Source organism: Homo sapiens, chromosome 4 (genome assembly GCF_000001405.40).
Source record: "Homo sapiens chromosome 4, GRCh38.p14 Primary Assembly".
NCBI lineage: Eukaryota > Metazoa > Chordata > Mammalia > Primates > Hominidae > Homo > Homo sapiens.
The window spans coordinates 156,378,671-156,392,404 of record NC_000004.12 but is presented as its reverse complement, the minus strand read 5'-3'; the positions used below and the strand labels follow the sequence as shown (position 1 = coordinate 156,392,404).

Sequence of the window (13,734 nt, the reverse complement as noted above, 5' to 3'; positions counted from 1 at the left end):
TAGATCCAAGCAACTATAACTCCTATGGTCCACCCAACAGAAATAGCAATGTCAAATAGCTAGTTAGAGATAGCCGAATTATTTGCCAAACACATTCAGTAACAATGAATATCGTGCAAGAGATTAACTGGCATATTTGTCAAAATAATCCTCTTAATAGAAGTAAATTTTATCAAAAAGTGGTTCAAGTAAAAAATTTTATCGCAGAGTTTTAAATATAAGGAATATTTCTGTATAATCCTGGTTTCTATACTACTTAATTATTCTAAGAATTATAGGTCAGTGATTATAATAAATAAATGTATTATATTCCTCTTTCAACATTGCTCACTAAATACATAAAGAATTTGAAGGTATTGTGGACAAATAAGTGGAGGAAGCAGAAAAGCCAAAATTGCGAAAGATAAATACTAGAAATTAGAAAAAGAATCATTTGTTCCATGGTAAACATCAGTTCTCCAAATAGCAAATGCTTCCCATGAAATATAGCAAATGGAAACTGAGTAATCTCATCTAACATTAAGGTGGTCTTATGACTTGATCAATAACAAAAGGTCTCAACTGCCTTCTTTTTTCTCCCCTGAAGTTTGCCCCCATACTAGTAACTTGAAATTCCCATCATTAATTTTTTTTTCTAGGGTGGCTATAGAGGGTATTAATCCAGAATTTTACTGTCTTATTGCCCAGAAGACAGCCTGTTTTTTCTGGGTCAGTGCTGTAGGACTCTCTGTAGATCTGAGACAGTGACAGTTAAAGAAGTTAAAGGTTGTATGGAAGAGGCTCTGAACGAAAGACCATCCTCAGCGTTTTTGGTTGGCCCATGTCAGCTCTGTCAGTAGCTATCTTGTTAGCAAACCAACCCTGAACCATAAAATGCACAATATTTAGTTTAATTTGCTTTGAGGCTCTACTTAGAAGTATTTCACAGAGTGAAATTAGACACTCCTTGGTCTATTTTAAAACATGACATAAACAGACTTATTATTAGACCCATCAGCCATTGTTGTTACAGATAGCTATTACCTAAAAATAAACACAGAAACAAATAAAATTTGCATCTTCAATACTTTCATCTTTCTGCACATATACACGCTTACAATGGCAAGCATGAATGTTCCCCTCCACAGGGAAATGCTGTTGTATATTCTTTCAGAGAAGCAGACACTGCTTTTCCCATTCCTAGTGTGAGTTGCTTTGAACATCATTTCCAATGAATGTGCCAATTTGGGAAATAGTGTGAGCCAAGGCTTCCTGATTTCAAAGCCATCTTGCATGGCCGCAAATATTTCATTTCTGGTTTTTGCACGCAGGATCAAAATGATGAAAGCTGACTTGTTCTCTCATGATCTAGAGAAGTCTTAGTTTTTGGTCAAGAATCACTGACAACTTTACCATGCGTTTTCTTTAATGTTGTGTTTTCACTCCCTCCCTCATTCACTCATTCATCCCCTCACTCACTCACTTGGGGAGCTTGAATTTACTATTTAGCCATCACTGTATTTATCTAGGTCTGCTCAGCTGGAGGCTTTGGAGATCAGAAGCTGTGGTATAAGGATTAGGGCACTGGCAAGGACTATTTTGGGCTGGAGTTCAGGGCAACTCTCCAGCCTCAGCAAAAAGTTCAAACCAGAAAACCAAGGCAAAAGCACAGTCATAAGAATTGGGCAATTGTTATGCAGAAATGAAGCTACTTAAGAAAAAGCTGTAGCCCAAGTATATGGGAGACATAGATTTACACTAATTAAAACTTGTCCCCTGATGTGGTCTGAGCCTGCTTATACCTGAGTGCATGAAATCATAGTGCTAATCGTGGCCTTTATTCAGTCCTGCGTGACTATTGGCCCTCATGGAAGCTCTGGGCATCCAGAATTACCTAGTGTTTTTAACAATTTGGATATCAAGTACATAGTTCCCTTTACTAAAAAAGACTAGGAGTCATATTCCCTTAGACATGTGAAAGATCACTGAGGCTTCCTTAGGAATGCAACTGTAATTCAACTAGGAATAAATAAATATCTAAGTAATTTAGGCCACCCTTTTATCTCTCTGAAAAAAGAAATATGTGATTTTGGAGGAAATCTACTCCTCTGACGTGAATTCTGTCAATTAAGTGAAGCGTCACTTTTTATTTGTATTTTGCCCTTTTATATAGATTTTACGGTTTTTTAAAATAAGATAACATTGTTCCCTTACTAAATTCCTGTTCTCGACCCTTCTGCTCTTCCTTATACACTCTTCATTAGGAAATTCAGAGACCACAATTCTTCCCCACCAGGCAAACAATGGCTAAATTTCTCTAATCCTGACCTCTCTCCCAAGCTCCAATGACGTAGTGTTTCACCAGCCTCTGTGATCTCATACCTCAAGCTGCCTCACAATGGCAACTTATAATTAACTTATTTTTGACAAGTTTATTATGCAAACAAATGAGCACATTTTTAATTTTTCATAATCATATGACTTTTTATTGCAATGTTGAAATGGGTCTTCCCATGAAAATTTATTCTTTCCTTGGTCACCTGCATGAAATTACCATATGGATAAACGAGGCAGACGATCACTTGTACTGCTCAAAATTTCCCCTTAAGTTTGAATGTAGTTGTCTGTATCATGTTGATTGATTGGATTGGATTCTTTCTTTAAATTATATTTATTACTTAACATAATAATTCAATTGTTTTGGCAACATGTAAATAAGAGTCAAATGTGCAAAACCAATCAATCAATCAATCAATTCACTGCCTGAACCATTTATCCTATCCATTTACTTTTAAACTGGCAGTAAACTGGCAGTAGGGAAGATAAACAGCCTTTAAACAGCAAACTATAAAGGAAAGAAAAAAGATTCCTACTCTTGTTGTTCCTTAGAGTCTTTAGAATTGGAAGAAGGATGGTAGATACTTTAAAAATGATTACAGACATGGCCGGGCACGGTGGCTTAAGTGTGTAATCCCAGCATTTTAGGAGGCCGAGGCAGACGCATCACCTGAGGTCGGGAGTTCGAGACCAGCCTGACTAACATGGAGAAACCCCATCTCTACTAAAAATACAAAATTAGCCAGGCATGGTGGCGCATGCCTGTAATCCCAGCTACTCGGGAGGCTGAGGCAGGAGAATTGCTTGAACCCAGGAGGCAGAGGCTGTGGTGAGCAAAGATTGCACCATTGCACTCCAGCCTGGGCAACAAGAGTGAAACTCCATCTCAAAAAATAATAATAATAATTACAGATACATAAATATATGTTTTTTGTTGTTGTTATTTTTCGTTTTTTGTCTCCCAGTGCATGAGACACTGGTGACTCTATCTCAGGAATTCTTAACCTTTGGCACTCTTGACATTTTGGTCTGAATAATTTCTCGCTGTGGTGAGCTGTGCATTGCAGGATGTTTAGCAACATCCTTGTTGGCCCTACCCACCAGCTTTCAACAACACTCCCAAATTGTGATGATCAAAAATGTCTCCAGATTTTGCCAAATATCCACCAAGGGGCGAATTGTTTCCAGTTGAAAAACTGCTGTATATGAATGCAGGTGATAGGAAATACCATGATTTGAAGCCCTTGCTGAGGCAAATGGTTTGCCACTTGACTGCACATTAGAATCACGTGAGGTACTTTCAAAAACTCAGTACCTCCAGTGATTTCACTTCCATAGATTTTCATGATTACTCTGTGTTGGAGCCTGGAAGTAAGCATCAGGTATTTTAAAATGCTCTCAGTGTTTAACAGGTAACCTCAGTTGAAAACCCTAGCTAGGAAAAGGAGTTGCCACCCGGAACATGAGACCTCAGACTGATTAAGATAATTATTCCTGTACTCTGCAATCACAGGCATTTTGAAGCATTATATTTACAGCACATGTTTCACTTTCATGGATTTATGCATTGAGTTTCTTATGTCAAAACAAAATAAATCTCTGAAATCTATAAAAGTCTCCAAAACATCAGACTTTTAGTATATTCTGCATGGAAGAATGTCTCAAATTAAATTTAGTGATGCATTATGTATTAAGTAAAATTGTCTGCGTGGAATAAAACTTTCTTTCCTACGTGTTCAGAGCCTCACTTTATCTGGTGTTAAGGCAGGTGTTAGGCCAACTCCCTAATGCTTGTTTAAAGGGATTATTGGGTAGAAGGACAACACATTTGAATATAATGAAATTGACAATTTATTTCTTGTCAAACTGCAGCTTGTTCTAAAAGAACCCAAATTCATTTACCTAACAGATACTGAAACCATTGGTTAAAAAGCTATAAAGAGAAATAAACACAAATCCCAAAGTCTAATTTATAACTAGATATTTTTAAAAGTAATAATGGAAAAGCAATGTGGTTTGTGAATTCAGTCAATTCACTTGTGGAATACATTTCTCCATTTTACTGGATCAAAATTTGACCCCTCCCTATTTTTTACTTCCAAATGATCCTAAATTTTGGAACATACATGTACAGTATTAGTTGATACTTTTCTTCGAAATAGATTTTCAGCTTCTGCTCTAAATTTCCCCTGAAGTTTTGTTCATATTGCTTTTTATCTGAACTGCCAAACAAAATTTACAAAAAGCTAAAAGCCTCAAACCACTGTAAATTTAGAAAGAGAAATATCAAAATATAGTGACATTTCCTGGAATAATAATTATTATTATTGTAGATTTCCTTAACTATAACACATTTTCAATAAAATTATATTATTTAATAAAAATAAGTGTATTTAATAAAATTATTTTATTTTAATAAAAAATAAAATTATAAAAATTGTTTAATAAAATAAAAATAACTATTTTTATTACACTTAAATACACTTATTTATCTTATTAATAAAATAAAATTGTATTATTTTATTAAATAAAGTGTATTTAATAAAAATGTTTGTATTAAATGAGGGCTATTTAATTTAAAAAGTGTATTTTACAGTGAAATATATACTTAAAAAACTTCTAGTATTATTTGTATGTACATAATCTTAAAATGAATGATGGGAATGCCCAGCCCAGACTTAAAAACACCAATGTGTAGTGCTTTAGACAATTTTACCTGTAGGGAAAAGAAGGAGAGATCAGACTGTTACTGTGTCTATGTAGAAAGGGAAGACATAAGAGACTCCATTTTGAAAAAGACCTGTACTTTAAAGAATTGCTTTGCTGAGATGTTGTTAATTTGTAGCTTTGCCCCAGCCACTTTGACCTAACCTGGAGCTCACAGAAACACGTGTTGTATGAAATCAAGGTTTAAGGGATCTAGGGCCTGTGCAGGATGTGCCTTGTTAACAAAAAATGTTTACAGGCAGTATACTTGGTAAAGGTCATCACCATTCTCTAGTCTCAATAAACCAGGGGCACAATGCACTGCAGAAAGCCGCAGGGACCTCTGCCCTTGAAAGCGGGGTATTGTCCAAGGTTTCTCCCCATGTGATAGTCTGAAGTATGGCCTCGTGGGATGAGAAAGACCTGACCGTCCCCCAGCCCATCACCCGTAAAGGGTCTGCGCTGAGGTGGATTAGTAAAAGAGGAAAGCTTCCTGCTGTTGAGATAGAGGAAGGCCACTGTCTCCTGCCTGCCCCGGGAACTGAATGTCTTGGTATAAAACGCGATTGTACATTTGTTCAACTCTGAGATAGGAGAAAAACCGCCCTATGGTAGGAGGCGAGACATGTTGGCAGCAATGCTGCCTTGTTATTCTTTATTCCACTGAGATGTTTGGGTGGAAAGAAACATAAATCTGGCCTACGTGCACGTCCAGGCATAGTATCTTCCCTTGAACTTAATTATGACTTAGATTCTTTTGCTCACATGTTTTTTGCTGACCTTCTCCTTATTATCACCCTGCTCTCCTACTACATTCCTTTTTGCTGAAATAATGAAAATAATAATCAATAAAAACTGAGGGAACTCAGAGACCGGTGCTGGTGCAGGTCCTTGGTATGCTGAGCACCGGTCCCCTGGGCCCACTATTGTTTCTCTACTCTTTGTCTCTGTGTCTTATTTCTTTTCTCAGTCTCTTGTCCCACCCGACTAGAAATACCCACAGGTGTGGAGGGGCAGGCCACACCTTCATTACTGGTATCATGCTTAGGTTACTGCCATAAAAGTGCTCAACTAATGGTGCTGAATTAAGTAATTGATTGCTAAGTACATATACGTTCTTAGTATTTACATCGTTGCTAGTCCATGTCTGTATATGTTTAAGATTCCATCAGATCTTTATCTTAAAGAAATATGATGATTGATTTCATTAGAATTACTCATGGAGAAATCATGTGTAAAGTCTTCATTTGAAAAAAAAATAGAGGCAAGTTTGCTGACCGCAAAATTTTGTATTCCTGAGATTAAACAGGCAAATGGGAGAAAAGGAGTTTTAAATGAATAATAATAACTGAGGCCACTTAACCTCCACCATTTATATTAAAACAGATAATTTCTATTTATAAAAAAATTCATGTTTGGTTGATAGACATTAAATAAAAGGTTTTAAATATAAATCAAAGTATATTGATACCATAAAATGTTAAGCACTACATAAATGGAAATTTTGTCAGTTATTACTGATAATAAAAAAATCTATATAACTTTATTGATAATTCCTGCCCAGTTTGGTCTCTCATTTTCTCAATTCCAGTAGTGTTGTTAACCTGTACTACATAACTTAAATCTTCATTATGATGGTCTTTAGGTAATACAGTGTAATGTTTGTGATTATTTTATAGTTTCAGCTTAAAACCCAGCAGGAGGAGATGACTAGCCTGACCTTGTGACTTTCAGAAATCTGAAATACTATGCAACTGTACAAAGCAAAGAGTAACAATAAACCTTATTTCAAAATTCTACTAATAATGAATACAATTATTTTGAGTCATGTTTGCTACCTATATATCATAAATGTTAATATTTATTTTATAATGTAAATAAAGCAACTATAGTTTCATTACAATAATTTTAATTAATTTTACACAGTTCATTATGTAAATTTTTGATGATTAACAATATAGGACAAATAATTATTTTTTAACATTTTGTTTTGTCACCTCCCATGTGTAGTAGAAACAAGCATTTCACACACAGGAACCAAATATACCAGGAGCACGGTACTACTTTAAGATGTTGGGTGGTGACTTCCCTGGCCAGAGAGGATACCAATATGCACAAGCCGATGAGGTAACAATAATCCAAGGGTCGTTGTTTGTTTTCTTTGGAAGGTCTGGGACATCAAGGGGCACTCAAAAACTGTTCCTTTCACAAAGTCTTTTTGCCTTTCTCCTAAGTCCCTTTGGCTCAGTCAGAAAACTTGCTTTCTAAAATATCAAAAATCTGACTCCCAACAATATATTTTTGAGAATTTTAATTCTGGTGAATTGACTTTGGTCTTGGAGAACTACTCCTGTCCTTTTTAACCTCAGTTTTCCTAAGAAATAATGAACTGTGGCCTGCAGGAGTGATTCTTTCCGACACCACTGTAGACAACGCGGCCATGCTTTCCTGGGAGACAAAGTTCTTCCTTGTGAATACATGTTCTACAAATGGAAATAAAAGCAGAATCGCTGAATATCTTCCTAGACATGTATTTACTCACTCACGCATTAACCAAGTGTTCATTCTAGTGTAGTGGTACCTAGATATTCTAGGCTTTATATCAGTGACCAAAGCCATCATCCATTCCTTCATGGAACTCACAGTCCAAGTCCAACTTTTGTAGCACCTCTACTCTGTGTTTCTAAGCCTCAAGTTTAGGATCATCAGTTAATGATAGTAGCTCAAATTTAACTTTCTGTCATTTCTTATGATACTTTATTTACTTTTCTTATGAAAAAGTAGATTTTTGTTTTATTTTATTTTAAAAAAGGATCTCACTCTGTAGCTCAGGCTGGAATGCAGTGTTGCGACCATGGCTCACTGTAGCTTCTACCTCCAGGGCTCAAGAGATCCTCCCATTTCAGTCTTGCAAGGATCTGGGACTACATGCACAAGCCACCACACCTGGCTAATTTTTTTTGTGTTTTTTTTTTTTGTAGAGTTGGAGTTTCACCAAGTTCCTGAGGCTGGTCTTGAACTCCTGAGGCCAAGCAGTCTGCCCGCCTCAGCCTCCCAAAGTGCTAGGATTACAGATGTGAACCACCACACCTGGCCTTTTATTTTTTTAAACAAATCAGTTTTGGAAGTAGAATTTGCCACCTGTATGCCATCTGATGATTCTGCACATGCACAGATTAATTTATGGTTGAAATCATTCTACATATCTGAAAGGTTTGTGGGTCGGTATATGTTGGGAAAGAATTAAAAAGCTATTTCTGGTTCTGTCATTACAATAATCCCTAAAAAACATCATTCTTTAAATTCATATCTTTAAAATTTTAGGTTACTTTAAAAATGGTAATATCAAATGAGTATTCATTTGTTAAGTAAAGGTTTACACATTTAAAAGTCAAATTCAATAATTAGATAATCAAAAGGATGACCAAAATAAATATTAGTGATTAAATAGATCTACAGAAAAAAAAAAGCTATGAAAGTTAGCTCACGTATGTTAGTTTACTTTTAGTTTATGGCTCAATTGTACCACTTCCCTTCAGATTAAAATTAAATGAAAATGTCAAATACAAAGTTTTTAATAAGCTCCTCTGGTGACTTAAGGATTATTGAATATCAAAATATCTTAATTGTTGAATTTTTCACTTTAAGGTAAATACAAAGATTCCCTTATAAGTCATTCAAAATTTTCCAATCGATACTAATAGTATAAGCATTTTTATAAAATCATGTTTTATCTGGTATATACATTCACTCACCATAAACCTATTAAATAAAGAAGGTGCAATTTCTCTCATTTACTGATTCCATTTTTTCCATTTCTTCCTTAGCATTTATTTTAAGTTCACATATACATTACATATTTATTGTGTATACTTTAAATTTTGTCTTCCACGAATGCTCCAAGACAGCAATGAATCTTGTCTGTTTTGTTACCGCGTCACCAAGGCCAGTGTGTGCAGTAGGCACTCAATATTTATTTTTAGAATGAAAGATGAAGGAAGAAAGAAGGGAGGAAGTGAGCCAAGGAGGCTCAATCTTGACCAGTGCGATTTCATGTTGTGAACCAGTAGCGCAGTGCTATGAACTGGTAGAGTTTAATTGGATGGTCTGGAAATCTTTCTGAATTAATGATATTTTTAGTGATCCCCCTTTGAAGTTCATCAACTCGTCATTATCAGATAGTCAATGATGACCTTCCTTAATTTTTAGAGAGGAGAGTAACGTACCACATAACAACAATTCTCACATAAGGCATTGCAAGTTACAGTCATGTAGTAAGAAATTTTCTATTAATAATAATTAAAATAGTTAAGTGTGTGAATGATTTACTTTTTAAAAAATAAAGTAAAGCAAATAAAAGAATATCCCTCCAACACACACCATTCTCATTCACACACTGTTATATTTTCAAGACAGATGGAAGTTCAGAGGAACTGTATACATAATGCTGGATTCATCCATCTGAGTCCATTAAACAAGTCAACTTCCTTCATATACGTTCTTGTGGAAATAGAAAAGTGAGAATTACTGATGTGTCTTCCTATGTACTAATCTGCCCTGTAATAGAGCTATTTCAGAGAGAAATTGTACGAGTTCCATAAGTCTCCTGGATTGCCTAAGTTATAATAGAAATGAAAAATGTGGGGAAAAATGGCCAAGTGTAAATGAATTGGCCAGGGTTCATAGAAGATTTCCATAACTTGATTCAGGTCTGAAATAAAAAGAACAATATTTTCCTCTGAAAAGTGTATCGAAAACCTGCCTGAGATTTTAATATAAAATCATGTCTAGGGCAGAGAAGAAGCTGCCCAATATATTGACATAAAGACTATATCTGGTACGATGAATGGAAATTGAATAGCATCAGACCAAATTCGCTGTGCTTATGCCTTTTCTGATTTGTACTTTGTATCCAAGAAAATATTACTTTATCTTATATGAGATGTTTTGCACATTTGAGGGTAATGTGCACAAATGTTTTGCACATTTGAGGGTAATGGGTGTGTGATAGTGTATGTGTGTTAAGAGAGATACAGAAAGCATAGAATGTAATTAGCTAAAACAAAGTACATTTCCAGTTTGCATGAGAATAAAATATTTGTGAAAGATTTTGATAAAATCAAACGTTGGATATAATAAGGAAAATTGTTTTTTAACTTTCTGGAGTAGAATATTTCTAAAGTGTATTCTAAAATGACAAGTTTTCCAGGAAATGCTGATGTGTAAATGTTAGGTGTTTGTAAATGTTAGGTATTCATTTTCCAGGAAATGCTAAGATTTGTAAATGTTAGGTATTCCAAAAATCTCATATGTAAAGAAAATAAAGTGCATTTTATATTATAGTATTTTTGATTCGTTTCTGCTATAAGAAACAGAAAATCTAAATGATAATAGCTTAAACAAGATAGGAATTTATTTCTCTTACATAAAAGAAATCTGTAGGTTTGCAATTCAGGACTGGAATTATTCTCGATGGTCTCTGGAAGCCAAGGTCCTTTTGCTTGTTTATTTGCTTTGTTATTCCTCTTGCCTGCCATTTTTACACATGGCTTCCACATCATGGTCCAATATAGCCTCATGAGCTCCAACCAATATGTCTACATTCCAGCCTACATGAAGGAGGAAGGGGCAATGGAGAGTCTACCTTTAATTTTAAGGACATGCTGGAAGTCACATATACTAATTCAACCTATATCCCATAACCCAGGCCATTTCTATTGCAAGGTAACCTGAAAAATGTAACCTGACAACCTTCCTCATCCTGGGAAGCCATGCTCCTAGCTTAATACCAGGGGGACCATTACATTCAAGGCAGAATGGATATTTGAGCACAACTGGTAGCTTTTGATACACAATCTAAATATACTTAAAATCACAAGATGAAAGTGTAGCCATTTCCTGCCTCATAAACAAATTTAGGATTCTCTATTGTCATTCTAGTTTGCATTGCAACAAATATCTTTATTTCCGTATTGGAAATCTAAATGCACATTTAAGCAAAAATTCTTTTTTTTTTTTTTTTTTGGAAATGGAGTCTTATTCTGTCACCAGGCTGGAAGTGCAGTGGTGCAATCTTGGCTCACTGCAAACTCCACCTCCGGGGTTCAAGCGATTCTCCTGCCTCAGCCTCCCGAGTAGCTGGGACTATGCCATGCGCCACCATGCCCAGCTAATTTTTCTATTTTTAGCAGAGACGGGGTTTCAGCATATTGGCCAGGCGGGTCTCGAAATCCTGACCTTGTGATCCACCTGCCTCTGCCTCCCAAAGTGCTGGGATTACAGGCGTGAGCCACCATGCCCGGCCCAAAAATTGTTATATGTGTATCAAAAACAATAGAGCTCTAGAATTTTCTTTAAAACTTTGTATTTGGAAGTTTAGCTTTATACAAATGTTTCAAAGATAATACACAAAGTTTTCATAAACCATTCACCAAGTTTCCCCATCATTGCGCCACCATGGCACATTTGTCACAGCTGAAAACTAACACTGATACGTTAATAACCAACTGAATACTTTTTTTTTTTGATATCGCTGGATTTTTTTTGTTGGTATCATTTTCTCTTCCAGCTCTAACCCAGGATACCACACGACATTTAGTGTCACATCTTCTTAGTTTACTCTGGTCTGTGACAGTTTTTCAGACTTTCCTTGTTCTTCTTGACCTTGACAGTTTGAGGAGTACAGTCAGGTTATTTGGTGAAACAACATTCAGTTTGAGTTTGGCTGATAATTAGACTGGGCTATGTGTTTTGGGGAAGAGTACCGTAGAGGTGAAGTGACTGGCTTATCATATGCATAAAGTGCATGTCTTAAAATATTTAAATAAGTAAAATGCAGCGGAAATAACAAATTTGACCTCATTTAATATATTTACTGTCTAGCTTAATAAAATATCTTATTATAAGAAGAGTCTTGTGGAGCATAATACAAAAATCTATTTTAATTCTAGTATACAATCCTGATATTTACAAAGTACAGTCTGATATAATTTTAAGATACTTTTTTACATAACAAAAAGACCAAAAATTGAAGTATATGATGTTTAGAATAATACAATGCTGAAATGGTTTAAATAACTCATTGTCATAAATAGTTTATGTATTGCTCTTTTAATGTTTATTTTTGTTAATTTTCTTACTAAAGAAACTTTTCAGAAATACCTAAGGGCAAAGTAATTAGTCAAAGTGTGCTCGAATTATTATGTGTTTTATATTAAGATATTCAAATCATCTACAGTATCCTTCTTCTCCTAATCATTACTAACATTGTATAAGTTCACTTCTCCTAGTCTTATCTCCATAATGCAAGCATTTTTAGATGATAACTAGAGATTCAGGTAGACAGTGTTTTGTCCAATTGCTTTTTTCAGAAATATACAAGTCAATGTAGTAATTACTCTTTATCATTGCTGAAAATCAATGAAGAATCAAGGTTTTTCTTGATCTCTGTAAATCAGATAATTTTGTGATGACACCTGGATATAAGGTGAAATGTCTCAAGTGCTCATTGTGCATAATGTATGCCCTTGGTTAAGGTTACTACACAAAAGTGAATATTTCCATATTGTTTTAAGATAGTATAATTCATACTTAAGAAACAAAAAAACTGACAGCCTTAAAGGTTAAGTATAGTTATAACCATGCTTGTTGATCTAAAAATATTATTTTCTTTTACCACTAATCTTTAGTAAATAAAATATAAAATTACCTATGCAAAGAAAAAAATCACAGGATTTACAAAAATGTTCATATCTATATCAACATTTTATACCTGACCAAACACCTTGACAGCCTGAAATATGACACATTTTCCTTTTCTGTTAATTTTTTTTTTTTTTTTTTTTTTTTTTTTTTTTTTTTTTTGAGACGGAGTCTCGCTCTGTCGCCCAGGCCGGACTGTGGACTGCAGTGGCGCAATCTCGGCTCACTGCAAGCTCCGCTTCCCAGGTTCACGCCATTCTCCTGCCTCAGCCTCCCGAGTAGCTGGGACTACAGGCGCCCGCCACCGCGCCCGGCTAATTTTTTGTATTTTTAGTAGAGACGGGGTTTCACCTTGTTAGCCAGGATGGTCTCGATCTCCTGACCTCATGATCCACCCGCCTCGGCCTCCCAAAGTGCTGGGATTACAGGCGTGAGCCACCGCGCCCGGCCCCTTTTCTGTTATTTTTAAACTTCCTTGAGAACTGCATTGCTCATGTATTTTCTATATTGAGTACTTTTATCTCAAAATACCGTTATATTATAAGAAAACATGAGGTAAAGGATTACAGCCCTTTTGGTATCTCCAAAAACACAGTCTTGTAAAGTGACAGTCGATTACTACATTAATAGACTTCCTTCTTCTTTTGTGTTGGTCGACTAGTAAAGCATTTGGATATCCAACATCTCTTGACTTTACAGAACATACAAATAATATATAAATAGAACTGTATAACATTCTTGGGAATTAAATATGCTTTAAAAAAGAATGATGCACCGGACACAGTGGCTCACGCCTGTAATCCCAGCACTTTGAGAGGCTGAGGTGAGGGGATCACTAGGTCAGGAGTTTGAGACCAGCCTGGTGAATATGGTGAAACCTCATCTCTACTAAAAAAAAAAAAAAAAAAAAAAAAAAAAAATACAAAAATTAGCTGGGCTTGGTGGTGGGCGCCTGTAGTCCCAGCTACTCTGGAGGCTGAGGTAGGAGAATCACTTGAACCCGTGAGGCAG

The 13,734-nt window shown here is 35.5% G+C and overlaps 1 annotated feature.

Moving 5' to 3' along the window:
* Nucleotides 460-629: an enhancer, noted in NCBI's record as "experimental_74995 CRE fragment used in MPRA reporter constructs". NCBI's record gives its function as "activates a minimal promoter by MPRAs in K562 erythroleukemia cells, with activity observed for both the introgressed and non-introgressed 4:157313013 variant alleles {active_cell/tissue: K562}" and the evidence as "EXISTENCE:reporter gene assay evidence [ECO:0000049][PMID:34662402]".